This window comes from Homo sapiens, chromosome 15, assembly GCF_000001405.40.
Source record: "Homo sapiens chromosome 15, GRCh38.p14 Primary Assembly".
NCBI classification, from domain to species: domain Eukaryota; kingdom Metazoa; phylum Chordata; class Mammalia; order Primates; family Hominidae; genus Homo; species Homo sapiens.
In genome coordinates, this window is record NC_000015.10 from 45,091,847 (window position 1) to 45,114,277 (window position 22,431).

The window sequence follows — 22,431 nt, forward strand, 5'->3', positions numbered from 1 at the left end:
TGCCCGGTGTTTGGGCAAGAGTTGGCTGGGGATACATCTTCAGTGATGACAAAGTCTTTGGGAGATCCTCACTTAGGCCCCAGCATGGCAGGGAAGTCAGGGCTAAGCAGAGAGTTTTATGGATAATCTTGATAGCCATGTTAATGCCATTCTCCAGTCTAGCAAGGATGGGTGAATTAGGATGGAATGAATAAATACTTTGCACAGTTTTTAGAAAGGCATAGGGAGGAACTGCAGGGTCAGATTTGGGAGTAAAGCTAAGGCTGAGACTGAAGGGGCTGGAGTTTGGGATTACTGACTGGTTGTGCACTTACTAAGGGCAGGAAGGCTGGAGGACTGCAGGAATGATGCTGTTGATAAATAGGTGAACTCATAATCATCACGCACCGCAACTATGGAACACAGTCTCCTGCCTTTTCTCATCTGTGTAATTGTCTGGGCCAATATTGTTATTTGACTTCCCAATACTCTCACAGACATTTGAATAAATGAGGAAGAGGCCCAGAGGAGTTAAGGGATTTCCCTCCATAGCTATTTGCAGATAAAGTGGGCACTAGAATCCAGGTCTCTTGACTTCTGATTGGTGCTCTTCCAGCCTTGTCAGAGAGATACCTTCAACAGAGGGGGTTGGGAACCAGAGGCATTTGGCCTGGCTGAAGAGGTAGGGTGGGGCCAGTGAGAAGACAAACCTGGTCTGAAACTCTCCCTCCACAGGTCCTACTGGCTGGATAACTGTATGACCCAGCAATTCCACTCATAGATACATACTCAAGAGAAATGAGTGCATGATGGCCACCAAAACATAGGTACAAGAACACTCACAGAATTTTTATTTATAATCATTCAAAATTAGAAACAACCCAAACGTCCATCAACAGAAGAATAAACAAACTGTGGTACATCTCTACAATAGAATACTACTCAGCAATGAAAAGGAACAAACTGCTGATACACACAACAGCATGGATGAATTACAAAGGCATTATGGTGAGTAAAAGAGGCCAGTCTCAAAAGAGTATATTTAGTAGGACCAAAACTGGATTTGGTAGAAATCACATCAGTGGTTGCTTCTAGGAGCTAGGGGAGACGAAGTGGAAGGGGGTACAAGGGGAGTTTCTGGGGTGATGGAAATGTTGAAACATTCTATGTCTTGACCTGGGTGGTGGTAAAACATGTACATGATTATTTATTATACCTCGATGTAAAATATTTTACAGCTCAGCTTTTTAGGAAAGAGCCCGATGAAAAAGGAAAAGAAAAGTTAAAGAGCTGAGTATGGAGGGGATGTTTCAGCCTGGCTCTTGCGTAAGGTGACCAGCTGTCCCAATCTGCCTGGGACTGATGGGGTTTCCTGGGGCAAGAGACTTTCAGTGCTAAAACAGGGAGAGTCCTGGGCAAACTAGGACAGCTGGTCACCCAACTCTTGTGGAAGAGGGGAATTGAGATCGAGTACTGAATATCTGGCAGAGAGGCTGGAATCCTTCAGCCCCAGAGCCCAGGGACCACTCCAGTAGATGCAGAGAGGGGCCTGCCCAGGGGTCAGGGCAGTGGGTATCACTGGTGACATCAAGAATATCAGGGCTGGGGAGGCATCTTTGTTTCCTGGTGCCCTCCTCAAAGTTGCTGACACTTTGGGGACGGGAAGGGGTAGAAGTAGGGCTGCTCCTTTTGGAGCTGGAGGGAATAGACCTGGAGACAGAGTTGAGGCAGTCGGGCTGTCCAGGTTCTAAGCATCACAGCTTCTGCACTGGGCTCTGAGGAGATTCTCAGCCAGAGGATCCCAGCCTCCTCCTCCCTCAAATGTCAGTCCAAGCAAATACCAAAGCAACGCATCGATTTTGTGGAAGTCAATTAGAGATGTGGGGAGCTATCGGAGACAAGCACTATTGTACCTTTTCACCTCCACACTTGTCACAAGCAGGGACTGTCTCCTCCCCACTTTGCTTGCCACGCCTGCCATGGCTTGAGCTGGGGTGAGGAGTGGTCTTTATCTTCTTTGGGAGATCCTGACTGGTTGCGCACTTGCTAAGGGCAGGAAGTCTGGAGGGCTGCAGGAATGGTGCCGTTGATAAACAGGTGGACTTATAATCATCATGCACTGCAATTGTAGAACATAGTCTCCTGCCTTTTCTCATTTGTATAATTGTCTGGGTCAATATTCTCCCAATATTGGGAGGGGCTCTGCAGCCCTCCAGCTGAGGCCTAAGGTGGATTCTGATGGAGAGATTGCCAGCAGGGCTGGGCAACTTAGGTGCACAGAAGAGAAGGCAGGATACTGGAAGCAGCAGCCAGGGAGGACAGGCTCAGAAGTTCTCATAGTGGTGCATGAAGTGGGCTCGGTCCTGCCTGTTGACGAGCTGACAGGCCTTCTCTACATTCTTGGTCATTCCTGGAGGGCCGCAGCTGAACACCCCGATCTTGCGCACCTGTCAGGAGATTGGAGAGAGAGAGGGGCCTGCAGCCTAAAGGTGCTCACTCTCCTTGGGAAAAGCTGCTTCCTGAGCCTGGCTGGAATGACTAAGGCTTCAAGCCCAGGCCTTGAGGAGGAGGCTTAACGTGGAGGGGGTGGAAGTCCCCCTTTAACAGCTGACCTCATCCTGGGGCCAGGCAATCGGGTGGAGTTCTCTGCTCAGAACAGAGTGGCAGGGTGCTTCAGGGCCAGGATGTCCTGGCAGGAGAAGGCCAGAGTCCCAGGGTGGGAGGGAGTGGGACTGACCTGTGGGTGGACCTCCTGCAGGGAGTTGAAGAAGGGCTCGAAGGGGGGACGGCCAAAGTGGGTGATGGAGCGCAGGCCCGTGAACAGACTCCGGTTCAGCACTTTCTGGAAGTGCCGCTCGCAGATGTACTGGGGGCACAGGGGCAGGTCAGACCAAAGACAGTCAGGGCCAGCACTCAGCCCGAGCCAGCCCACATAGCCCAAGAGACAGAGAATGGGGAGGGGAGGGAGCTGGAGGCTGAGGATCAGGCCATCAGCTCTGTGCCTCCTGCCAGCTCAGCCTGGCCGTCCACCCACCTGCCCTGGCCATCCTGCCTTACGCTGCCAATCCATCTGCCCGCCAAGTTGCCCTGCCTGGCGGGCCCTGACATACTAGCATGGTGGTCCTGAGGTCGAACTTCTCAGCCAGCTGGGTGACATAAATGTGCACAGACACCAGGTCCTGGTGGTCGTTCTCCTCCACCTCTTGGATGATGTCAGCCAGCCACTCAAACTGACGCTGGGTCCGTGTCACCCAGATGAAGTAGATCTGGGGACACAGGGCTGGAGATCAGGACCCAGCTCAGTTCAGCCTCCCTAGATCCCAGGTGCCTTCACCTGAGAGGCTGGGAAGCCCCAGACCACCTGCAGACACCAAAGCTGTGGCAGGACCCACCAGCCTGATCCCAGGCTTCCAACTGACAGGTCCCAGCAGAGGCCCTTCTGGCTATACCACCAACCTCCCTCCAAGTTTGGCATCTCAACCACTGGGTAAGAATGACCCCTTCAGACTCAGTTCCTGGAGCCAGGAGCTTTCTCTCATGCTCCACCACTTGATGCGGGTCACAATTCGGCCACCTATGCCCCATTTGATGAATGAGGGAGGGATGCTCACCTTCTTACACAGCATTTGGCTGCCCAAGGATGACTTGAAGACCAGGTCTTTGAGGATGGAGGCAAAGGGGGTGACCCCAATGCCCCCTCCCACCAACACTGACACCTCAAATTTATGCCACTCCTGATGGCCCTCTCCAAACGGTCCATCAAGGTACAGCTGCCAAGAGAGGGGGGAGATGAAATGAGCCTGACCCTGCCCCAGCTCTGAGACCAGAAACGGAGACACAGGCAGAGGGAGGATACAGAACATCCTAGTCTTTTCTGAGGCACCCCGGTCCTCTCCCAGGCTGGCTTTGGGACGGCTGGAGCTTCTAGTCTCAGGATAGGGAAGGGCAGAGATCCTCTGCCAGTGCCAGAGGCCCGGAAGCAGGGTTCCCAGTGACGGGCACCTTTGGGTATCCAGCACAGCCATTGCCCTTTGGGGATGAGTAGATCTCCCTGAGGCGAGTGGTCCAGGGCCCCACTGCCCGGATGTGCAGGCTGAGTGTGTCCTCATGGGGCGCGGAGGTCAGTGTGAAGGGGTGGTACTCGGTGGTCCCCAGAGCCAGGCAGGCGATCCGCACCCACTGTCCTGACTTGTACTCAAAGCCTTGGGGCCTCTGGAATTGCAGGTAGGTCACTCCTGGAGGTCATAGACAGGGAAAAGCACAGATGAGAAGGCCTGCTCCTGGTACCTGAGGACTGATAGGCACCTGTCCTCTTCACACCCCTGAGGCCTGGGGAGTAGTCACATGGTCTGAGCAAGCGGGGCTCCTGGGGCTGGGAGTAGGAGGGTCCCCTTCTCTGTTTCCCAGGTAATGCAAGAGCTGGGTTTCTCTGCTCCCCTGTTCCAGCCCCTCTCCTCCTCTCTACTCCCTCTTCCCATGGAAGGCCCAGGCCTCATACCACTGCCTTGAATACCAACCTGCTGGGTAAAGGGACTCAGGCTCACCAGGGACCATCTCAGTGGCTACCAGACCTCCATTTGAGGGTTACCTTTCTACACACCTCCTGCACTATCATTTATCTAACACTTTTCTTTAAATTGACTAACTTTTCCAATTCAATTAATCTTGGCAGGGAACTTTATTGCTAAGGTAAGTGGAAAACCAGTATCATGTGTCCTACATAGAAGACAACATATTTTGTTACCAAATTTTAGCTGGATACTGTTTGTACCATAGCTGAGCCTCAGGCCTGATCTCTTCATTGAAAAAGGAGATCAGCAAGTGCTGGAGAGTAGAAAGGCATACTAACACCACTCTGAGATTTTGTCCTTAAGTAATCTCAATTGAAATAACATTGCAATGAGATTAATTTTTTTACAACATGAGTCCTGAAGGTTAGACAGTCCTGAGATACATAAAATCATCTTTTGCCACCCTCTATGATGATACCAATCCCGACTTTGGCCAGCACTGACTCTCAACAACCCAGACTGGCAATCTGGGCATTTGCCTGTCTCTGAGAGAAGGAATGGGACAGGCATATGTGGCTTCCTGCCCTGCACTTCCCCTGCACCCAGGCCACACATGTGGGGCCCTTTCCCATCCTCAAACCCCTCTGTATGCACGTTCAGCCACCTCTTCTCAGGTCACTTCTCACCATCTGCAAGTCTCCTGGGAGCTAAGCACAGCCCTTTCTGGGTCTACTTCTATCAGGAAACCTTCAGGAACCCCCGAGAGTGGTTTTTTGTTGTTGTTGTTTTTGGAGACAGAGTCAGAGGCAGTGATGGGGTCAGGAGACCTGGTGAACTGTCTCCCCATGTCTGAAGATTTGGCCTCTGTCGCTCCCGACCCAGGTCAGGCTGGGCCTGATACCTGAGGGCAGCAGCTCCGCCTTCACCACGCTGATCTCCACCTTCTTCCGGCTCAGGCTCACCAGCTTGTCACCTCCATAGATGATTGCCGGGACCAGGAAGTAGATGTGGAAAGTGGGCAGCTGGATCAGAGCATAGCTGCCATGGATGATGAGCTGGAGACACGGCCAGTTAGTACAACTCAGGCCCAGCCAGGCCCCTGCCCGGCATCCCCTCTTGCCCAGGCACTAGGCCTGTGCCGGGGAGATAGGGCTGAGGTCTGGGGTCTTAAATCTCAAAGTCTCATTCTGAGATCTTGGATCCAATTCTCCCTCTTTCACCTTCCTGTCCCATCCTGAGCTCCCTGCTCCATGGGCTGGCCCAGGGAAGTCCCTCACCAGGGCATAGAGCAGGATGTAGAGGTGGTGGGTCAGCCAGAAGCCCCGGAAGCTGCGGCGGCGGAAGTGGTGGGAGGCGAAGACATACATGATGGCCAGGACCAGGAGCAGAAGCACACCTGTCATACCTGGGGGCAGGAAGACAGGGCCAGTGAGTAGTCTCAGGACTTCAGCTTGGGCTGAAAAGACAACAGCACATTCCCCTATCCTTCCCTCCTTCCTCTCTCATCCCTCCGGGGCCCCCAGAAAAGCCTGCCTGGAGGGATTTGAGCTGGGGCTTGTCCTGAAGGCTAGAAACAGACCCCATGGCCAGTATAGACAAGTGAGTATTCACAGAGAGATGGAGACAAAAGCAGAAGTCCTCAGACAGAACCCCCAGGTCCCACGTTTCCTACCTGGGACGGTCTGGAAGAACCACCAATAGAACTTCTGGGGAAGCTTGGACCTGGGGGGCAAAGGCACCTTGAGCCTCTGACTGGGGCAGGAGGGGCTCCAGCACTGTCACAACACAGCATGACTCCTTTCCTGCTGGCCCTGACTGCTGAGGGTATGGGGCCTCCACCCAGTTGGCCAGGGATCCCTCCAAGGAACTTGGCACCCAGGCTTCCATGGTTCCACCCTCTGTACTCAGCAATTTTTCCTTCTGTGTTATCCTGAACTCTCTTACTGTGGTTGACCCCTGCTTCCTTGAGTCCCTGGTTCATTATTCTGTAAGCTCCATGAGGGCAGGGATTTTTGTTTCATTCACTGCTCTATCCCTAGGCTTAGAACAATACAAGGCACACAGCAAATCTCGGTAAGTAGTTGTTGAATGACTGCATGTATCTTGACATCCCTACTCTGGCATCTGGGTAGACACATGGGACATGCTGCATAAATGTCTGTCCAGTGAATGGATAGAAGGCAGAGATGGCAAGCTGTGTGTCAGGTATCTATGAGAAAGAGTCTCTGACTTCATCTCCCAAACACCTTTCCTGGCCAATCACAGCCAGCTTCCTTCTTGAAGGCAAGAAATTTACCTTTCAGCTTCCCCCAGGGGACTAGCTTAGCACTGAGCTTCTTGCTGAGTGTCTGGGACTGTCTATTTCTTTCCTTTTTTTTTTTTTCAAGACAGAGTCTTGCTCTGTCGCCCAGGCTGGAATGCAGTGGTACTGATCATGGCTCACTGCAACCTAAAACTCCTGGGCTCAAGCAATCCTCCTGCCTCAGCCTCCTGAATAGCTGGGACTACAGATGTGTACCACAATGCCCCGCTAATCTTTTTACTTTTTGTACAGATGGAGTCTCACTTTGTTGTTCAGGCTTGTCTGGAACTCCTGGCCTCAAGCAATCCTCCTGCCTCAGACTTCCAAAGTGTTGGGCTTACAGGTGTGAGCCATTGTGCCCTGCCTATTTCTTTCTTTTTTTTTTTTTTTGAGACGGAGTCTCACTCTTTCGCCCAAGCTGGACTGCAGTGGCGCTATCCCGGCTCACTGCAAGCTCCGCCTCTTGGGTTCATGCCATTCTCCTGCCTCAGCCTCCCGAGTAGCTGGGATTACAGGCGCCCACCACCACGCCCGGCTAATTTTTTGTATTTTTAGTAGAGACGGGGTTTCACCGTGTTAGCCAGGATGGTCTCGATCTCCTGACCTCGTGATCCGCCCACCTCGGCCTCCCAAAGTGCTGGGATTACAGGCGTGAGCCACCGCGCCCGGCCTGCCTATTTCTTTTTCTATTATACCCTTGGGCCCACCCTATGAGTCCCAGGAGAAACCATCCCCAGAACTGACCCATCATTCACAAAGACGTTGGGGAATATGCAGGCCAGCAGGCTGAGTGGGCTGACTGAGAAGATGTAGACATTGACTGCGTGGCCAGCACTGTGCAAAACTGGAAGAGACAGACCCTGTTAGAGATGCCAACCAGGACAGACTCTACCTCCGATCCTGAGGGAGAGAGGAGGCATAGGGAGGAGAGATGGAGGTATAAGGAGTTCCATCTCCCCACTGTTTCCCCCAACTAGACCCAGGGTGCTGCAGCAAAGAGGAAGAAGCCTGGGAGTCACGTACTGGCCAGGACAACAGCAGCCATGGCGATCCAGCGGTGGAAGTCCACTGCGGCATCAAAAGGCACATAGCGGTTGAGGAAAGTCTCTCGCAGGAAGGTTATGAGGTTGCGGCACATGGTGAGCAAGATATAAGAGAACATGAAGGAGACGCTGGCCGCCGTGCCTCGTGACAGGATGATGCCCACGAGGGTGGTCTGTGCAATGTCCGAGGGTGGCGAGGCAAAGCCATAGTCTGGGGCCGGAGTGAGGTTACATCAGCTTGGCACAGGTGGCCAAGGTCCCGAGCCCTGGGCTCTCCCATGCAGACTCTTAGGATCAGAGGGCTTTCCACTCCTCTCCAAGGGTCAGAGCCTGCTCCCTACCCACTGCCCACAGCCTGGAACTCTTACAGTAAGCACGATCTGCAAACACGCCAACACAGATGGCCGAGAAGATTGCCACACACACGATGTGCCTCCGGTAGTTCTCCACGAAGCGCTTGTACTGCTGCAGCTTTTGGGCTAGGAAGCCTCGCTGCATCTTCTCTTGCAGCGCCTCTGTGTACAGCCGGGGAGTGGGCACTGCTGCCCTATAGCAAGGGGAGGCAGGGCAGCAGTGTGGTAAGGGCCCTCTGGCCTTCCCTTAATGCCACTCCATGAAAGGTGACCTGGGGATCTGGCAGGCATCAGGATGGGCCACAACAGATGAATGGAAAAAAGCAATCTGGGGGCTTCTTCCTCCTCCAACCCTTTACTTCTGTCTTTGCTCCATCCACCCACTCACTGTCTCCCTGCTACTCCCCCTCCTCCTGTCTGTTTTATCCTTCTTTCTTCCTGATCCCAGCACAGGCCTCAAGGCTGTGCCCAAAGCAGGCAGGAGCCAGGAGACCCCTTACTATCATCCTGTTGAGCCAGGACCCTTGCCTGAAGAATGGGGTGCAGAGGCTGGAAGAGGATGAAAAGTCATTCAACACTGTAACCTCTCAGTCAGGTCAGGAACAAATGGAATGAGACTCAGGATGGTCGCTTATATGTCAAGGATATGTGGGTGGGGCCTAGGGACCCTAAGACTTCTCTCCATGTCTCTTTGGGCCCAGGGATTTGGGAGACACTCACTTTTTGCCAAACCTCTTCTTCAGTCCAGGGCCTCCCAGCTCTGGGGCTTCTGGGGCAGGGGGCCCCAGTCCCTGGGGGTGGGAGCTGAGAAAAAGAAATGGGGCTGTTCTCCCCTTGTCTTTGCAGCCAGGAGAACAACTCCCTGGGCAGAGCATGGGGTAGAGGTAGGGAGTGGCTCCTGGTACCAGGCAGGGGGCAAGGCACAAAATGAATTAATAGGATCTCATGATTTGTTTTGTAGAATGATTCTGGCCTGGAGCAGCAGGGAGAGAGCCAAGCATCCGAGCAGCATAGGGTGAGAGAGGCAGCTGGAATGTTTGTGCTACCATGAGCTACTTTCAAAGGGCAAATGCCTGATTTTACCAGGGGCTGATCAGCCAGTCCTACTCCCTTCATTTCTCTGCAGGGGGCTCAGCCAGGCCAACCTGCCAGAGCCCCATTCCTGCTCACCGCTCCCCAGGTGTCCGAGTGATGAACGAGACTCGACAGCTGATGTTTTGTTTAAAGATATCTCTAATACCTAGAGAAAAGAACAAGAGGCAGGACTGGCTTCCCCACAAGGGCAGTGGGGTAGGATGGGAGACTGTGCCCTCCTCCCTTCTGGGAAAGTCATGTCCAGATCTCTGACTCGAGTCCTGTTTCCCTCATTCCCTAGACTAAGCACTCACTGTACACAGGGCAGACAATGTGGCAACTTTGCACAAGAAAGGGGACATCCTCTTAGGTGGATGCAACCCTGCAGGTCCTTTGTGTAAAAGAAACAATGCCTCTTCCTCTGGCCAGATACATCTTAGAGCAATGCCGGTGGCTTTGAGCAGTGTGTAGGATAGATTTCAACCTGCTCCTTGACCTCAGTGGGTATCATTGTGCATTAGGCAACTTGCACACCTACATGTGCCATCCCAATTACATGTGCTTGGTTCTATACTAGGTACCAAGGACTCAGAAAAGAGTAAGACCTGGGTCCTGCCCACCAGGAACTCTCATTTTGAGGACACGCCCCCCCTCCCTGACGCCAACCATTCCTCACACACTCACCATTTCCACCTCCACCTCCACCTTTGACACAGAGCTGCGTGAAGCGGAGCTCGCTGTCATGGTCCCGCAGCATGAAGTGAAAATCCTCCCATGTCAGCTCCTCCTTGTCCTGGAATCCCGACTCCCGGAACATAGACTCCACCACCTCGGCCAGCTGGGCCTTGGACAGGCAGTTGTTGGAGATCTCGATGAAGGATCTGGAGGAGGACCAGAGACACAGCAGCCTGTCACCCAGCAAGGTCAGGCTTGGGTAGGTGCAGGGTGGGGCAGGCCCCAGATTATCTAATGTGGTTACCAGTGACCCGGGAAATGGCACTGAGAAGGTGCTCATCCAGCCTGCCGCTGACACTAAGCTGGGTGGGGTAGCCATGGACTCAAAAGGCAGAACAGAATTGAAAGTGACCTTGACCAATCAGAGAAAGCAGCCCTCAAACAGGGGGCATCTACAACTGAGAAGATAGTCCACTGAGTGCAGGGGTGTCCAGGGTGTGCATGGCCCTCTCTCGTGGCAGGCTCTCTGTCCACTCTCTTCTGTTGATGCCTCCCACATCACCCCTGGATTCCCCCTTTCATAGTCCAGTGGGGGCACCAGGCAGCCAGGTGCCAGGGAGGGGAACTAGCTGCAATGCTGCTGCTTCCTTGTGCCAACACCCCGGGGCACAGGCGGGAGCGTCTCCATGCCCAACCTGATAGCACCCACAGTGGCACCTGCAGTAGCCAAGCTCTATTCATAGGTTGTGCCTCGGGACAGAAAAGACAGACTATGCAAGTTTGTGTAGGTCCGGCAGCAATGCTGTGCCATGCTGGGCCCATAAAACACAGCAAGCACAACCATCACATTAAAAACATCGTCCCACCGACAGTAAGCAAGATACACGCTGAGTTACAGGACAAGAAGGTGGGAATTCACCAGGTGTGGTGGCTCACGCCTGTAACCCTAGCACTTTAGGAGGCTGAGGCGGGCTGATCCCCTGAGGTCAGGAGTTCGAGACTAGCCTGGCCAACATGGTGAAACCCCATCTCTACTAAAAATACAAAAATTAGCTGGACGTGGTGGCACATGCCTGTAATTCCAGCTACTTGGGAGGCTGAGGCAGGAGAATCACTTGAACCTGGGCAGTGGAGGTTGCAGTGAGCCGAGATCGTGGCACTGCACTCCAGCCTGGGTGACAGAGTGACTCCGTCTCAAAACAAACAAACAAACAAACCAAAAAAAGAAGGTGGGAACTCAGCCCTTGGAGGCAGGGACCCTCTCCTAGATTCCCTTGAGCCTCACCTCGGGCTGGGCCTGCAGTGACATACCCAGTGAGGTACAGACTGCAATAGCTTTGCCCTTTCAGAAGCCCTTGTCCAGTTGGGGTATCTGGACCATATGAGGAATGTAGCAGTTAAGGGGAATGCTTAAAGCAATGTTAAGGCTTAACAGGATAGAAAAATTGAAATAATGTGGGCTGTTACATCTATACTTTGTATTCATTTGCTCACTTATTTCATTTTGTCTTACTCAGTTAGTTATGTATGAAATGCCTGCCCTGTGCCAATCACAGTGTAGAGAAGCTGGATTCAACAGGGAACAAGCCCTGCCCTTATGGCATGGAGGGGAGCTGTGTTACTGACGCATTCATTGTCTTCAGGAATGAGAAGCACAAAGCTGTTTTTTTTTACCGGCACAACAAAACCAGAAAGGGCTTAAGATGCAGGAAGAAAGAATGGTTGGAATATGGAGAAGCCTTCCACGTTTCTCTTCCTGACTATCATGGTGATGAATAGCGGAGCAGCAACCAAGGTCATCCATTCACTGTTTCACTGGGTAGAGCACGGTGTTGGGCGTGCCGTAAAATAGTTCACAAAGATCCAAGGGCATCCAAAAGGGATTAGTGGATTTTTGTCGTTGGCCATATTGGTGTTGGGTTTTTTTTTTTCGTTTTTTAACTAGGGAGGCTTTTCTGGCTGGTGTTGACAGTCCAGACAGAGACTCTCCCAGAGGCAGGAGCCAGTCAGGTAAATATTTGAAGGTGGATGCTCTGAGAGTTTAGGATGTAGTGTTTAGGCCACCTCTCAGCACAGATGACCACAGAGCCTCTTTGCCAGCCCTCCTCTGACTGGACCTGTTTTCCTGTTTGAAACACACCAGGAAGTCTCAGGATTAGAAAGGCACACCCCATACCGCATCATGGTGAAGAATTCGTCCTTGGAGAGGAAGCCATTCTCATCCAGGTCATACATGGTAAACATTAGACGGGACTTATCCTCTGGGGAGCCTGGGAAGAAAAAAGGGAATGCAGGTCATCTCCTTGCTGAAAGACCCCTGGATTCTTGGATAGCCTGCCACCTCCCAGCCCCCTACCTTTCATGAAGACCACCAGGATGTCCAGGAACTCTCGGAAGGACAGGTAGCCATTGCCATCCTTGTCAGCCAGAGAGAACATGGACTCCACAAACATGTCCTGGGGCTTGAGGCCCAGGGACTCGGCAAACTCGGCCCTGCTCAGCTCGCAGGTCAGGGCCTCCCGCACCTTCTGGGAGGAGTCCAGGGGCAGGGTCCCTGCGTCGGCCTGGTTGATGTCCAGCACCTGCACTCGGGCAGCAGCAGAGGGAGGGAAAGAGAAGGAGGTGAAGCCTATGCTGGAAGCAGTTCAGTGACCCTTCATATCTCCCCAAAGTCCAAATCAGAAAGGCTAAACTCTGATGGTTCTCCTGATCCTTAGATATACTGACTGGGGCCTCTGTTGTCCTATAGACGGGGGAATCAAATCTCTAGCAGCCTGCCCATTTCTCCCTGGGCCCAAGAACCGGGAACTTCATGCAGTGGGCATGGTGCTGGGGTAGGGAAGGGGAAGGGCGAAGTTAAGGGGAATGGAAAGTGAGAGAGCCTATACTGGGGACAGAAGATGTAGAGACATGGTGGTAGACAGGCAGGAAGGGGCTGGGGCTGTGCTCTCTTGCCAATTCAGATAAGGCTGCCATGTGCCTATGATTTGCCCATTGCACAAAAAGTTTAAAAGTCGCATGTAACAACCATTTATTGTTTTTTGTTTGTTTTTTTGAGATGGAGTCTTGCTCTGTCACCCAGGCTGGAGTGCAGTGGCATGATCTTGGCTCACTGCAACCTCCGCCACCCGGGTTCAAGCGATTCTCCTGCCTCAGCCTCCCAAGTAGCTGGGATTACAGGTGTGAGCCACCACGTCCAGCTAATTTTTGTATTTTTAGTAGAGATGGGGTTTCACCATGTTGGCCATGCTAGTCTCGAACTCCTGACCTTAGGTGATCTGCCCGCCTCAGCCTCCCAAAGTGCTGGGATTATAGGCATGAGCCACTGCGCCTGGCCACAACCGTTTGTTAAATGCCTGCAACATACCTGGCACTTGGGCCAATAAGCACTGTACATAAAACAATGTTTTTCAAACATTAGAGTGTATCTGAATCATCTGGGGAGCTTGTTAAAACACAGATTGCCAGGCCCCACCCACAGAGTTCCTGGTTCAGTCTAACTGGGTAGGTGCATTTCTAACATGTTCCCAGGTGAGGCTGATGCTCTCGGGTCCAGAGGCCAACCTCTGTGTACCACTCATGTAGACGATCTCACCGAATCCTCACAACAATGCAATGGGATGGATACAGTTTTCATCACTGTTTTATAGATGAGGAAACAGAGATACAGAACAGTGATAATGTGACTTGCCTAAGGTCACAGAGCTAAGTAAAGTGGCAATGCCAGGATTCAAACAAGGCTATTTCTCTCCAGGCCATAGAGCGGAAGCTTAGTTCACCCACAGGGGCGTTCTATGCAGCCCAGGTTTCCTCCATTTCTGGGGCTGGACCCATCTCCAAAAGGCACAGGTCATGGCACCTGAGCAAAAAGGTGTCTGAAGAAGATCTCCAGGATGCGTTCCCGCTGCTGCTTTGTCACAGCCTTCCTAAATAGCTCCTTCTCGCTCATCTCAGCCACATGGAGGCCCAGAGCCCAGCGCACGCAGAAGTCCCATAGCTGCTGCACAAAGGCGCCCCGTTCCTCTTCAGAACTAAACAGCAGCACCTGGGTGGGAGGAAGGCGGCACTGACGCAGGGAGCTCGCTGGACCTTCTGCTTCAGCCTCCCCTCAATGGATCTTGGGTTGAGGGGAGGAGAGAAAACTCCTCCCCATCCATCCAGGCTGGGGCCAGGTGTGTGGACGAAGGGGGTCAGGTTGTGTCTGGGGGCCTCTGAAAGGAGCCCCTCTCCCCAGCATCAGCTGTCATAGTTGAGCTCTGTAGCTGAGGATAGGGTGGCCTCGCTTGTGATAATGGAGTCGTGTGAGGGCAGCCCAGGCTGGGGAGGCAGGACGAGCCATACCAGGTCATACTCCTTAGGGATCTTGAGCAGCAGGGTGCGGCATCCTCGGTTGTTGGACAGGATGAGGTTGACCTGCTGCAGAGGCTGCAGCTGGACCACACGGAGCACAGTGAGATGCCTGTTCAGGACCTGCAGACACCTGTCTGACAGCAGCTGGATGATGATGGGACTGCTCCTCTCCTTGGGGCCTGGCCACTCCATCGCTGGGGAAGGGATAATTGGGCCGGGTAGTTCAGCAGATGTCCCCAGGTCCCCGCCTTCAGGTCAATTCCTCTGTGAGTCTGAGCAGGCGCCCTAAAGGTGCCTTGGCTTTCCTCTCACTCTGTAACTTGGTTCTTTCTCCCAGACTCCTGTCTCTCCCCTCCTCCGTCCCTCCTCCCTCCTCTGCCCAGCCCCTGCTCACCTGGCACTCCATCTTTGGCTGCTTCCTTCTTCACGCTCTCTTTGAGTTTCTTTTGTAGCTTCTTGTGTTCTCGGCCCCGGAAATAGGCCACCACTCCAGAGAGAAGCAGACTCACTGAAGTGGATCAGAAGGAACAGTGAGGAGGGAGCCCCTCACCTAGAGCTCCACTGTGGCTTAGGCTATGGCCCCTCCCTTCCAGAGGTTCCTTGAGCCTGGTCTCAAACGGTACCAAATAGCCAGCCCCTCAGGCCAGCAGGAAATGAGGGGCAGGGCCAGTCTGCAGAGAGGCTGCCTAAGAGCTCACCTAAGGGAAGGCAGCAGAGAGCAATGATGGTGATGGCAAAACCAGGGCTGCTGCCTTCAAAGAAGTCAAGCACAGTCAGGGGTGCACACTGGGGCAGGCCGTCAGTTGTGAGCTGCTTAGGTTGAGGGCAGGGTGCACCTGAGGGAGAGGGCAGGGAAGACCTCAAAGTCTGAGGATCCCGCTATGTGGCCAGACCTCTTTCCCCTCTATCCTATAAAGGACCAAGGTATCATCTGTCTTCCCCAGGCCCACCTCCCTGAAACTGTCTCCCTCAAAAAGTCCCCATTCATTTCCTGTCTCTTGGCATCTACCCCATCCACCCCTTCTTGACTGTAGGGTGTAGCTTGTGTGCTAGTTGAGGTCCCTGCTGTGGGAGCCAGCCAAATGCAGGCCTCCTAGCCCAACACAGAAGGTGCCTGGCTCCCTGGACAGCACCAAGTGATTCCCCCGCACCCTCAATCTTGATCCTTCTCTGGCCACTGTCACTCACTTGTGTTCTCCCACGGCACTCACCTTTATGCCAGACAAAGACATTGGGCTGCAGGGCACTGGGGTCAATGTTGATAACAGCGACCAGCACGTCCCGCAGGGTGGTATTTCGGATGTCTTCAATCTCCTTCTTGGAGAACAGCCTAAGTTGGAGGAAGTAGAAGTCACTGGGATGGGAAGGGGATGCAGGCCTCCAGCAACCCCAGGCCCAAGGACCCAGGTGAGAAAAGAGACCCAGAGGGGCTGGGTGCAGTGGCTCATGCCTGTAATCCCAACACTTTGGGAGGCCAAGGCGAGTGGATCACTTGAGGTCAGGAGTTCGAGACCAGCCTGACCAGCATAGTGAAACCCCATCTCTACTAAAAATATTTTTTAAAAAAATTAGCCGGGCATGTTGGTGCATGCCTGTAATCCCAGCTACTTGGGAGGCTGATGCAGGAGAATCACTTGAACCTGGGAGGTAGAGGGTGCATTGAGCCAAGATCACGCCACTGCACTCCAGCCTGGGTGACAAAGCTAGACTCTGCCTCAAAAAAAAAAAAAAAAAAAAAAGAAAAAGAAAAAGAAAAAGAGAAGAGAAGAAAAAAAGAGAGACCCAGAGGGGTTGGGAAGGGTGTGGTGGGCTGACTGGGAATCAAGGGCTCATAGGGGCTGTCTAAGGCTAGACAGAGGGTCTGGGGCTCAGGCTGAGGAGCAGTCTGAGGTGGGGGCCCAGGCAAGCCTTACCCATTCCTGGTGTTCTCAAACCAGTAGCGGTCACCATCCCGCAGCCGTACAAACTGGTCGAGGACAATGGCACTGAACAGGGGTCCAGGGTCCCCATGGCTCTCCAGGAGCCCCCCAAGGAGCAGCTCTAGCTGGGATAGGTCCTGGTTGTACAGGGCAGCTGTGGCCTCCAGCACCTGGGGCACCACAGGAGATAAGGGGTGAGCGTATGTTTGCTGCGGAGGGCAGCCACTGTTGCCCCATCCCTCGGGCACAGAACCTCAGCCGCTGCCTGGCTGCTGCTCAGGCCTGATTTCCTCTTCTTAGGCAAGCCCCCTCAGGCAGGACAAGTCTGGTGGAAGGATCAGTGTGTCCCTACCCACGGTAACACCACGGTCAGGTGCCCTAGGACCATATCCTGTGACCATCACCAGCCTGCCTGACCTCAATGATTAGCAGCTTCAGGGGCACACAGCCCTTGGGGTGGGACCCTGCAGCAACAGGACAATGGCACCCAACCCAGAAGCCACCCTGCAGGAATGGTACAATGCAGTGGTTAGGAATATATTCTGGAATCAGATGGCTGAATTTAAGTCCCTCCTCTATGATTTACCAACTATGTCATCAGTAAAATGGGGAAAATGATTATACATACCTTACAATATTATTATGTAGATTAAATGAGTCAACATATGTAAAGGGTTTGGAACAGTATTGCCATAGGAAAGCTTTAGCTGCCATTATTATCATTACTATTCCTGACCTGGGGGTCCACATTAGGGTTGAGATCACTCCAGTTCCTTGGGATGTCCAGCCCAAAGGCCAGCAGGGCCTGGCTATAGCTGGGCAGCCCCATATCTCGGCCACGTTGGATGCTGCTGGCCACATAGTCTGTACGGGAGAATTTGCCAGGGCCAGGCCAGTAATCTGAAGAGGAGAGAAGACTAGACTATGGGCTTTGTCCTCTCCATCCTTTTTTGCCCTGCAGCCTTGTATCTGACTATTGGCACTACGGTTCTTCCCTCCTGGCTACCCCCAGTGATCCACATGAGATCTGTGCCCATGCTGACCTTGCCTTGCTGCAAGGCCAATGTCACCATGGGTGATCAGAGCCAGTTTTTCCAGTAAGACCCTTCCTCTAAGACTCAAGACTGTTCTAGTCACCAAGCAGTAAATTCCCTGTCCTATGCCTCCCTAGTTTCAAGACAGGGCTGAATGAAAACCTTTAGAGACCTAATTAAGCACCAAAGAGATTGTGGTACCACCCCTCCCCAATACTCAGACATAGTTAATTTAAAATAAAAGCAACACAAAAGTGTAAATTAAGCAAAAAAAAAAAAAAAGTTCAAAGTTCATTTTCTTCTTATGGCTCCTTGAAGTCTGTGTTTGTATCTGTGTTCCTGCATCGTGAGCGCCCTAGGTCTGCTATTGATGAACCCAGAGGGATCCTCAGGCTTCCTGGTCCCTTACCATCCACCCCTTCTGGCTCTGAGCTCACCCCTCAGATCTTCAACCACTATGTTGTCCTCCAACTCCGAAATCTGGGAGGCCATTCCCAGCAGCAGCTCATTCACCTCCTGGGTACTGTTCAGATTGGGGTTCTGGAAGTAAACAATGCACTCAAGATAGGCCTCTACCCAAAACTCGGTCTCTCTCAGCCTGGACCACTTTAGTACCCCAGGACAAAGGGCCCTTGGCCAGTCCCAGACTCTCTTGAACTGTTGTCCCCGGATAATTTCCTCTACCCTTCATCTCCCATGAACCTGGGGCAGCAACACTCAAGAACTGGGATTGTTGCTTTTCCCAGCCTGTGTGAAGAGACTGACCTTGACCCATCTTCCCCTGACCCTGACCCCAGTCTGACCTCCCGAATCCAGTAGTTGTTGCAGACCCTGAGAGCTTGGGAGCTTTGAAAACCCTTGTTCAGGACCTTCCGGAAATGACAGCTGGCATTTCTGAAATTGAGAACAAAGGATGTGGTGAGGGAATTTGGAGAAGAATCAAAGATGGGGTTGAGTGGGCTGAGGGACTCAGTGGGGGTTCACTAGGATTGAGCAGTGGCCCAGGAACTTCCTTGAACACGGCAGAGATTTGGTGATGTGCGTTTACTGAAGATAGAGTGCGCTCCTAGTCCAGGTAGGGTGGGGAGAGGAGGGAAGGGAATGACCCAGCTGCTAGACAAATCCTACACCCAGCCACCAAATTTCAGCCCTTAGGAGAGCTGGAGAGATTTCCCTACTAAGCCTACACATCTTACCCCAGGGTTCTGTTTCAGGGCCCCAAATTTTTGCTTCCCCTTCTCTAGTGAAACTGCGAAGGAGTGTGAAAGGCCCCAGCCCCCAAGGCAGCTCATTCTGCACCTTTCTTAGTGTGGTGCCCCTCTCTGCCAACCCCTCCCTCACCTCATGTAGACACCAGGGGGCACCATGGTAGAGAAGAACTGCTCAGAGGCCACCACAAATTCCGGGGAGATGCTGGGGTCTAGGAAAGGACGGTATCCTGCAGGAAGGAGACGGTGATGATGGGGAGACAGGCTTCTTGCCTCCACATCCTCCCATCACAGGCACCTGTCTCCTTCCCCTCAGGATTCTCCGCACAGGTGTCCTCCTTCCCCGCTCCCTCACCTGTATACTCCGGGAGTGTTTTCTGCAGGAAGCTGGGCAGCCACTCATACACAGCGATGTTCTGAGGGGCAGAGAGGGGCGAGGGGAGGCACAAGTTGGATGGTGTGGGGCCTGGAAGGGTCTGAGCCCAAGGACGGCTTCCGTGTGGAGATGAGACCAGGAAGGGTCAATCATGGGAGAAGCAACTCAGACAGGAGCAGTGTGAGGCCTGTCCCCACAAGGAACCAGGGGATTTGAGGGAGTGGGGGTTGGGGAGGTGATAAATAATCATCACCAGCCAGATTTCTCCTATAAACAGCGCGTGCCTCCCTATCATTTACAGGGGCTTCCCTAGACCTCGGCTGTCTGGGGAGGGGTTTCTGGGTGGCGGTTGTCCACAGATGGGGAGCTCCATGGGGCAGCGGAGTCTCCCGTGGGCTTGCACGCGGAAGGGAGGACGTCGCGGGGCGCGGACGGCTGACCTGGTAGGTGGCGATGACCCTCTTGCGTGCGTGCTGGAACAGCTCCTCGTCCTCCCAGTCTGGGTGCTGGCGGGCCAGCCTCTGCGCCCACAGGTTGTGGTAGCGGAACCAGAGCAGGCCCAGCGCCTGCAGGAAGGGTTCCCGGTTCCCTCTCTCTGCCCCGAAGGCTGCATCCGACGTGGGGGCGCAGGGGAGGAGACGAGCGGTAGCGTGATCGGGGGAGCCCACACTCGCAGACCCCCAGCCGGCCCCGTCCCGCCCCTGTGGCCTCACCGTACAGCCCCCGGGGCCCGTTCTGCCCGGTGGCGGGGTCGGGCGCCGCCCACATGAGCAGGGGGTTCTGCGAGTCTCGGGGGAAAGCGGGGTCGGGCCCCGACGCCAGCTGTCCCCCCGAGAAGCTCCGCAGCGCGTCGCTCCAGGAGTGCGAGGAGCCATAGATGGCGCTGCCGTCCAGCCAGCCCGTCACCTGGTTGGCCTGCGGGGCACGCGGCGGGTGAGCCCGGGTCGAGAGGCGGCGGCGGGCCAGGGAAGGCCGGGGCCCGGCGGGTGTCCGCGGCTGGGGAGTGGGCGCCTCTCCCCTCCAGGCCCTGCCAGGCCCGAAGCCCAGGCCCCACCTGGCTGGGGTGCGGTCCCTTCCCGCCGCCTTCCCCGCCTCACCAGGTCCCGGGGGTTGCTGGGACTCCGTCCGGTCTCGGGGTCCCAGCGGCTCCTCTGGAAGGGCAGCACCACGTCCCCGCGCTGGTCGGGGTCGAACACGGGGTCTCCAGGTGGGATGCGGATGTTGAGGAACTCGGCGGGGCAACCGGGCGTTTCCACGCTCACCACGTCGGAAAGAACATGGTAGCCTGCGGGCATGGGGCGCCAATACGTGACAAACCGTCCGTATTGCGCCCTCCCCACGGCCAGGGCGGCCTCCAAGTGTCCTCAGGAGCCAAAAGACAGAGGTCCCAGTGCCAGCTCCGCCACCAGCTCTGCACGTTAGCCCCAGGTAGCCTCAATTTTCTAATCTGCAAAGTAAGACTATAGTGAGTTCCCTTCCTACTCAATTCATAAAGCTGTTGTGAGAATCAAAATGATATAATTTATGTAGGGGTACCCCAAGTCAGTCCTCCTCCCTCTGGGCTAGGGGGAGGTAAAATGGTTACAAACACACGGTGAGGAGAGCGGTGGCTGGGGAGCTCAGTTCCCAAGAGCTATAATGGGGGTCCAGTGACACCCCTAGGTTGGAATAAGGCGTAAGAGAAAGGTTAGATACAGAGCAAATATCTCTGTATCAACATCCCAAAATCTCTCCGAGATGAAGGCAGTCTCGAAGTGCTGCGTAGAGAGGAAGTGGTTGGGAGTCGGATGGGTCTCCTGTGGACTCGCAGACGGGATCTGGCCCCTCCCCCAGGCTGAGCAGAGCGCCAGATCAACCCCACTGGTCTCCCCCTTTGCCCTCACCAAAGAAGACCCCCAGTACGGTGCGGTTGTGGAGCGACGGCAGGCCGGCTATGCCCCGCGTGGCTGCGTTGCTGAGCCGGCGCGGGTTGGGCAGCTGCGGCTCCTCCAGAGCCTGATACACACCGTCGGCGTAATTGGCTGGTACGCGGCGCTGCAACCGGCAGCCTGCGGAGGCAGGGAGCGGGGCTCTGTCTAAGCACTCCATCCCCTAGGATCCCCCAAACCTCTCCCTAAGCCTCCCTCAACCCCCATCCCACTTCACTGACAGAACCTTCCCTCAAGGGTCTCTTGGCCCCGGGAGCGCATAAGATTGCGCTGTGTAGGCAGCGGAGCTGCTGGGCGCGTGTTCCCCGCAGATTCCCCGCTCAGGGCCTTTCGCGCCCCGGCCCTTCGCGAGCCACGGCCCCAGCACGCCCGGGCCCCCAGAACGCACCAACAGCACCACGCTCGTGGTGCCTCAGGTTGTTAAACCAGCCGTCATAGCGCTGCACTTCCCAGGGCAGTGAGAGTGCGTCCTGACTGCCTGTGGGCACAGAGAAGGGCCTCCTCAGCACTACGCTCCCAGCTACCCCTCCCGAGCAACGAAGGCCTTGGCCAGTCCTTCCCCAGCTCGCGGAGCGCCCCTAACCGGACCCAAGTGTCGGGCCGCACTGGGAAGTTTCCCATCCCGCTGAGCTGCACGGCGAAATGACCTTCCAGTCTCAGGGAGCCGCTTGCCGCACCTCTCCCCGCCCCACCTCCCAGGGATCCTGGGGAACACCCCGCCGCTAGAGGAGCCTGATACTTGCCCGATGGACCCAGGGATCCAGTCAGAAGAGCTCCCAGGAGCATCAGTGCCTCTGGTCTTGCACGGAGCATGCCAACCCTGCAGCCTGCGGGGTGAGGGTGGGGGTGGTAGGTGGTATGCGAAAGCCACTGTTAGGGCGTCCTCTATGCCTCCCCTCTTGTTCCTACAGCTAGTACTGGAGGAGGAGCACCAGCTGTTTCCACTTCTGGAAGGTAGCTGTTAGAAGCATCACCGAGGACCTTCATCCAAACGCCACTCTTTCCAGGACAATTGGCAGCTCTGGAGGCATTGACACTGTTCCCCATCCGCCACCCCATCAGAGAGTTAACCCCCGACCATAGGAACCCACTGGGCAGGAGTCTTCTGGGGCATGTCAGTCCAGGGCAGGACTGGTCAAGCCTCCCAGGGTGTGCCCAATGTCTCCAATGTTTCACCTCCACCCGCCCCCGATCCGTCAGGCTCCGCTTCTCCTCCAGGAGGCAGGGAAGGGAAAAAGGTTACTGACCTGGGAGTGAGGGACTGCAGCACCCTTCCACAATGAATCCCCCCTTCCCCAATAAACTCCCCTTCTGCAATGAACGCCTGTGCATGATGGGCGAGGGCTAGGGTCAGATCCCAAACTCTGGTCTAACCTGTGGTTTAGGGTGGTGTTGGGTTCAGATGTCTTCTTTCCTCTTAAAATCTTTGCTTCTGTGCTCTACTTCTTGCCTTCACCCTCACTCTTCCAGCTCCGCCGATCCTCAGCCTCCCCGGCTGCACTCTCACCTTTCTCTCTGGGTCCTTGGTCTCGCCACTGTGCAGGTGTCGGCTCAGGACAGACCTGCGCCAGTGTGAGCATCTGGACCTAGGGCTCACCCTCCTGCCGTGGAGGTGGGGCCCTTATTTGCACAACCTCTTCCAGCTCAGACCAGCCCCTGGGCTGGGACACCCGTGTGGC

General features: G+C 54.5%; 1 protein-coding gene across 2 annotated transcripts, besides 3 other annotated features; it reads right to left on the reverse strand.

The window, feature by feature from the left end:
• Nucleotides 804–22,326, reverse strand: DUOX2 (dual oxidase 2). 2 transcript variants are annotated; one of them, NM_001363711.2, is made up of 34 exons: nucleotides 22,127–22,326; nucleotides 21,496–21,579; nucleotides 21,141–21,230; nucleotides 20,708–20,872; nucleotides 19,922–20,109; nucleotides 19,538–19,739; nucleotides 19,265–19,431; nucleotides 18,804–18,864; nucleotides 18,582–18,678; nucleotides 18,044–18,134; nucleotides 17,678–17,780; nucleotides 16,943–17,106; nucleotides 16,201–16,376; nucleotides 15,499–15,617; nucleotides 14,986–15,123; nucleotides 14,682–14,795; nucleotides 14,279–14,481; nucleotides 13,797–13,982; nucleotides 12,294–12,519; nucleotides 12,114–12,207; nucleotides 9,947–10,143; nucleotides 9,359–9,428; nucleotides 8,909–8,992; nucleotides 8,204–8,382; nucleotides 7,816–8,046; nucleotides 7,537–7,636; nucleotides 6,163–6,212; nucleotides 5,768–5,895; nucleotides 5,392–5,545; nucleotides 3,982–4,214; nucleotides 3,591–3,749; nucleotides 3,090–3,245; nucleotides 2,717–2,845; nucleotides 804–2,426 (listed from the first exon to the last, which is right to left on the reverse strand). In NM_001363711.2, the coding sequence occupies exons 2-34, from the start codon at nucleotides 21,563–21,565 to the stop codon at nucleotides 2,304–2,306; spliced, it is 4,647 nt and encodes a 1,548-aa protein (NP_001350640.1). In that variant the 5' UTR covers nucleotides 21,566–21,579; nucleotides 22,127–22,326; the 3' UTR covers nucleotides 804–2,303. The 2 variants fall into 2 exon arrangements, with proteins under 2 accessions (NP_001350640.1, NP_054799.4); NM_014080.5 differs by having other exon boundaries at nucleotides 21,141–21,226; nucleotides 21,492–21,579.
• Nucleotides 10,129–10,629: an enhancer, noted in NCBI's record as "H3K4me1 hESC enhancer chr15:45394173-45394673 (GRCh37/hg19 assembly coordinates)". NCBI's record gives its function as "activates a minimal SCP1, AML or CMV promoter by ChIP-STARR-seq in naive H9 embryonic stem cells {active_cell/tissue: H9 hESC(naive)}" and the evidence as "EXISTENCE:reporter gene assay evidence [ECO:0000049][PMID:30033119]".
• Nucleotides 18,894–19,720: an enhancer, noted in NCBI's record as "H3K27ac-H3K4me1 hESC enhancer chr15:45402938-45403764 (GRCh37/hg19 assembly coordinates)". NCBI's record gives its function as "activates a minimal SCP1, AML or CMV promoter by ChIP-STARR-seq in naive H9 embryonic stem cells {active_cell/tissue: H9 hESC(naive)}" and the evidence as "EXISTENCE:reporter gene assay evidence [ECO:0000049][PMID:30033119]".
• Nucleotides 20,563–21,098: an enhancer, noted in NCBI's record as "H3K4me1 hESC enhancer chr15:45404607-45405142 (GRCh37/hg19 assembly coordinates)". NCBI's record gives its function as "activates a minimal SCP1, AML or CMV promoter by ChIP-STARR-seq in naive H9 embryonic stem cells {active_cell/tissue: H9 hESC(naive)}" and the evidence as "EXISTENCE:reporter gene assay evidence [ECO:0000049][PMID:30033119]".

Excerpts from the sequence above, each read along its gene's own strand:
- DUOX2 (NM_001363711.2), bottom strand. The coding sequence starts at position 21,565 with ATGCTCCGTGCAAGACCAGAGGCACTGATGCTCCTGGGAGCTCTTCTG. Across the intron at positions 20,873-21,140 it reads CCACGAGCGTGGTGCTGTTG|GCTGCCGGTTGCAGCGCCGC; the intron begins GTGCGTTCTGGG and ends CTGCCTCCGCAG. Across the intron at positions 9,429-9,946 it reads TGGAGGTGGAGGTGGAAATG|GTATTAGAGATATCTTTAAA; the intron begins GTGAGTGTGTGA and ends TCTTTTCTCTAG.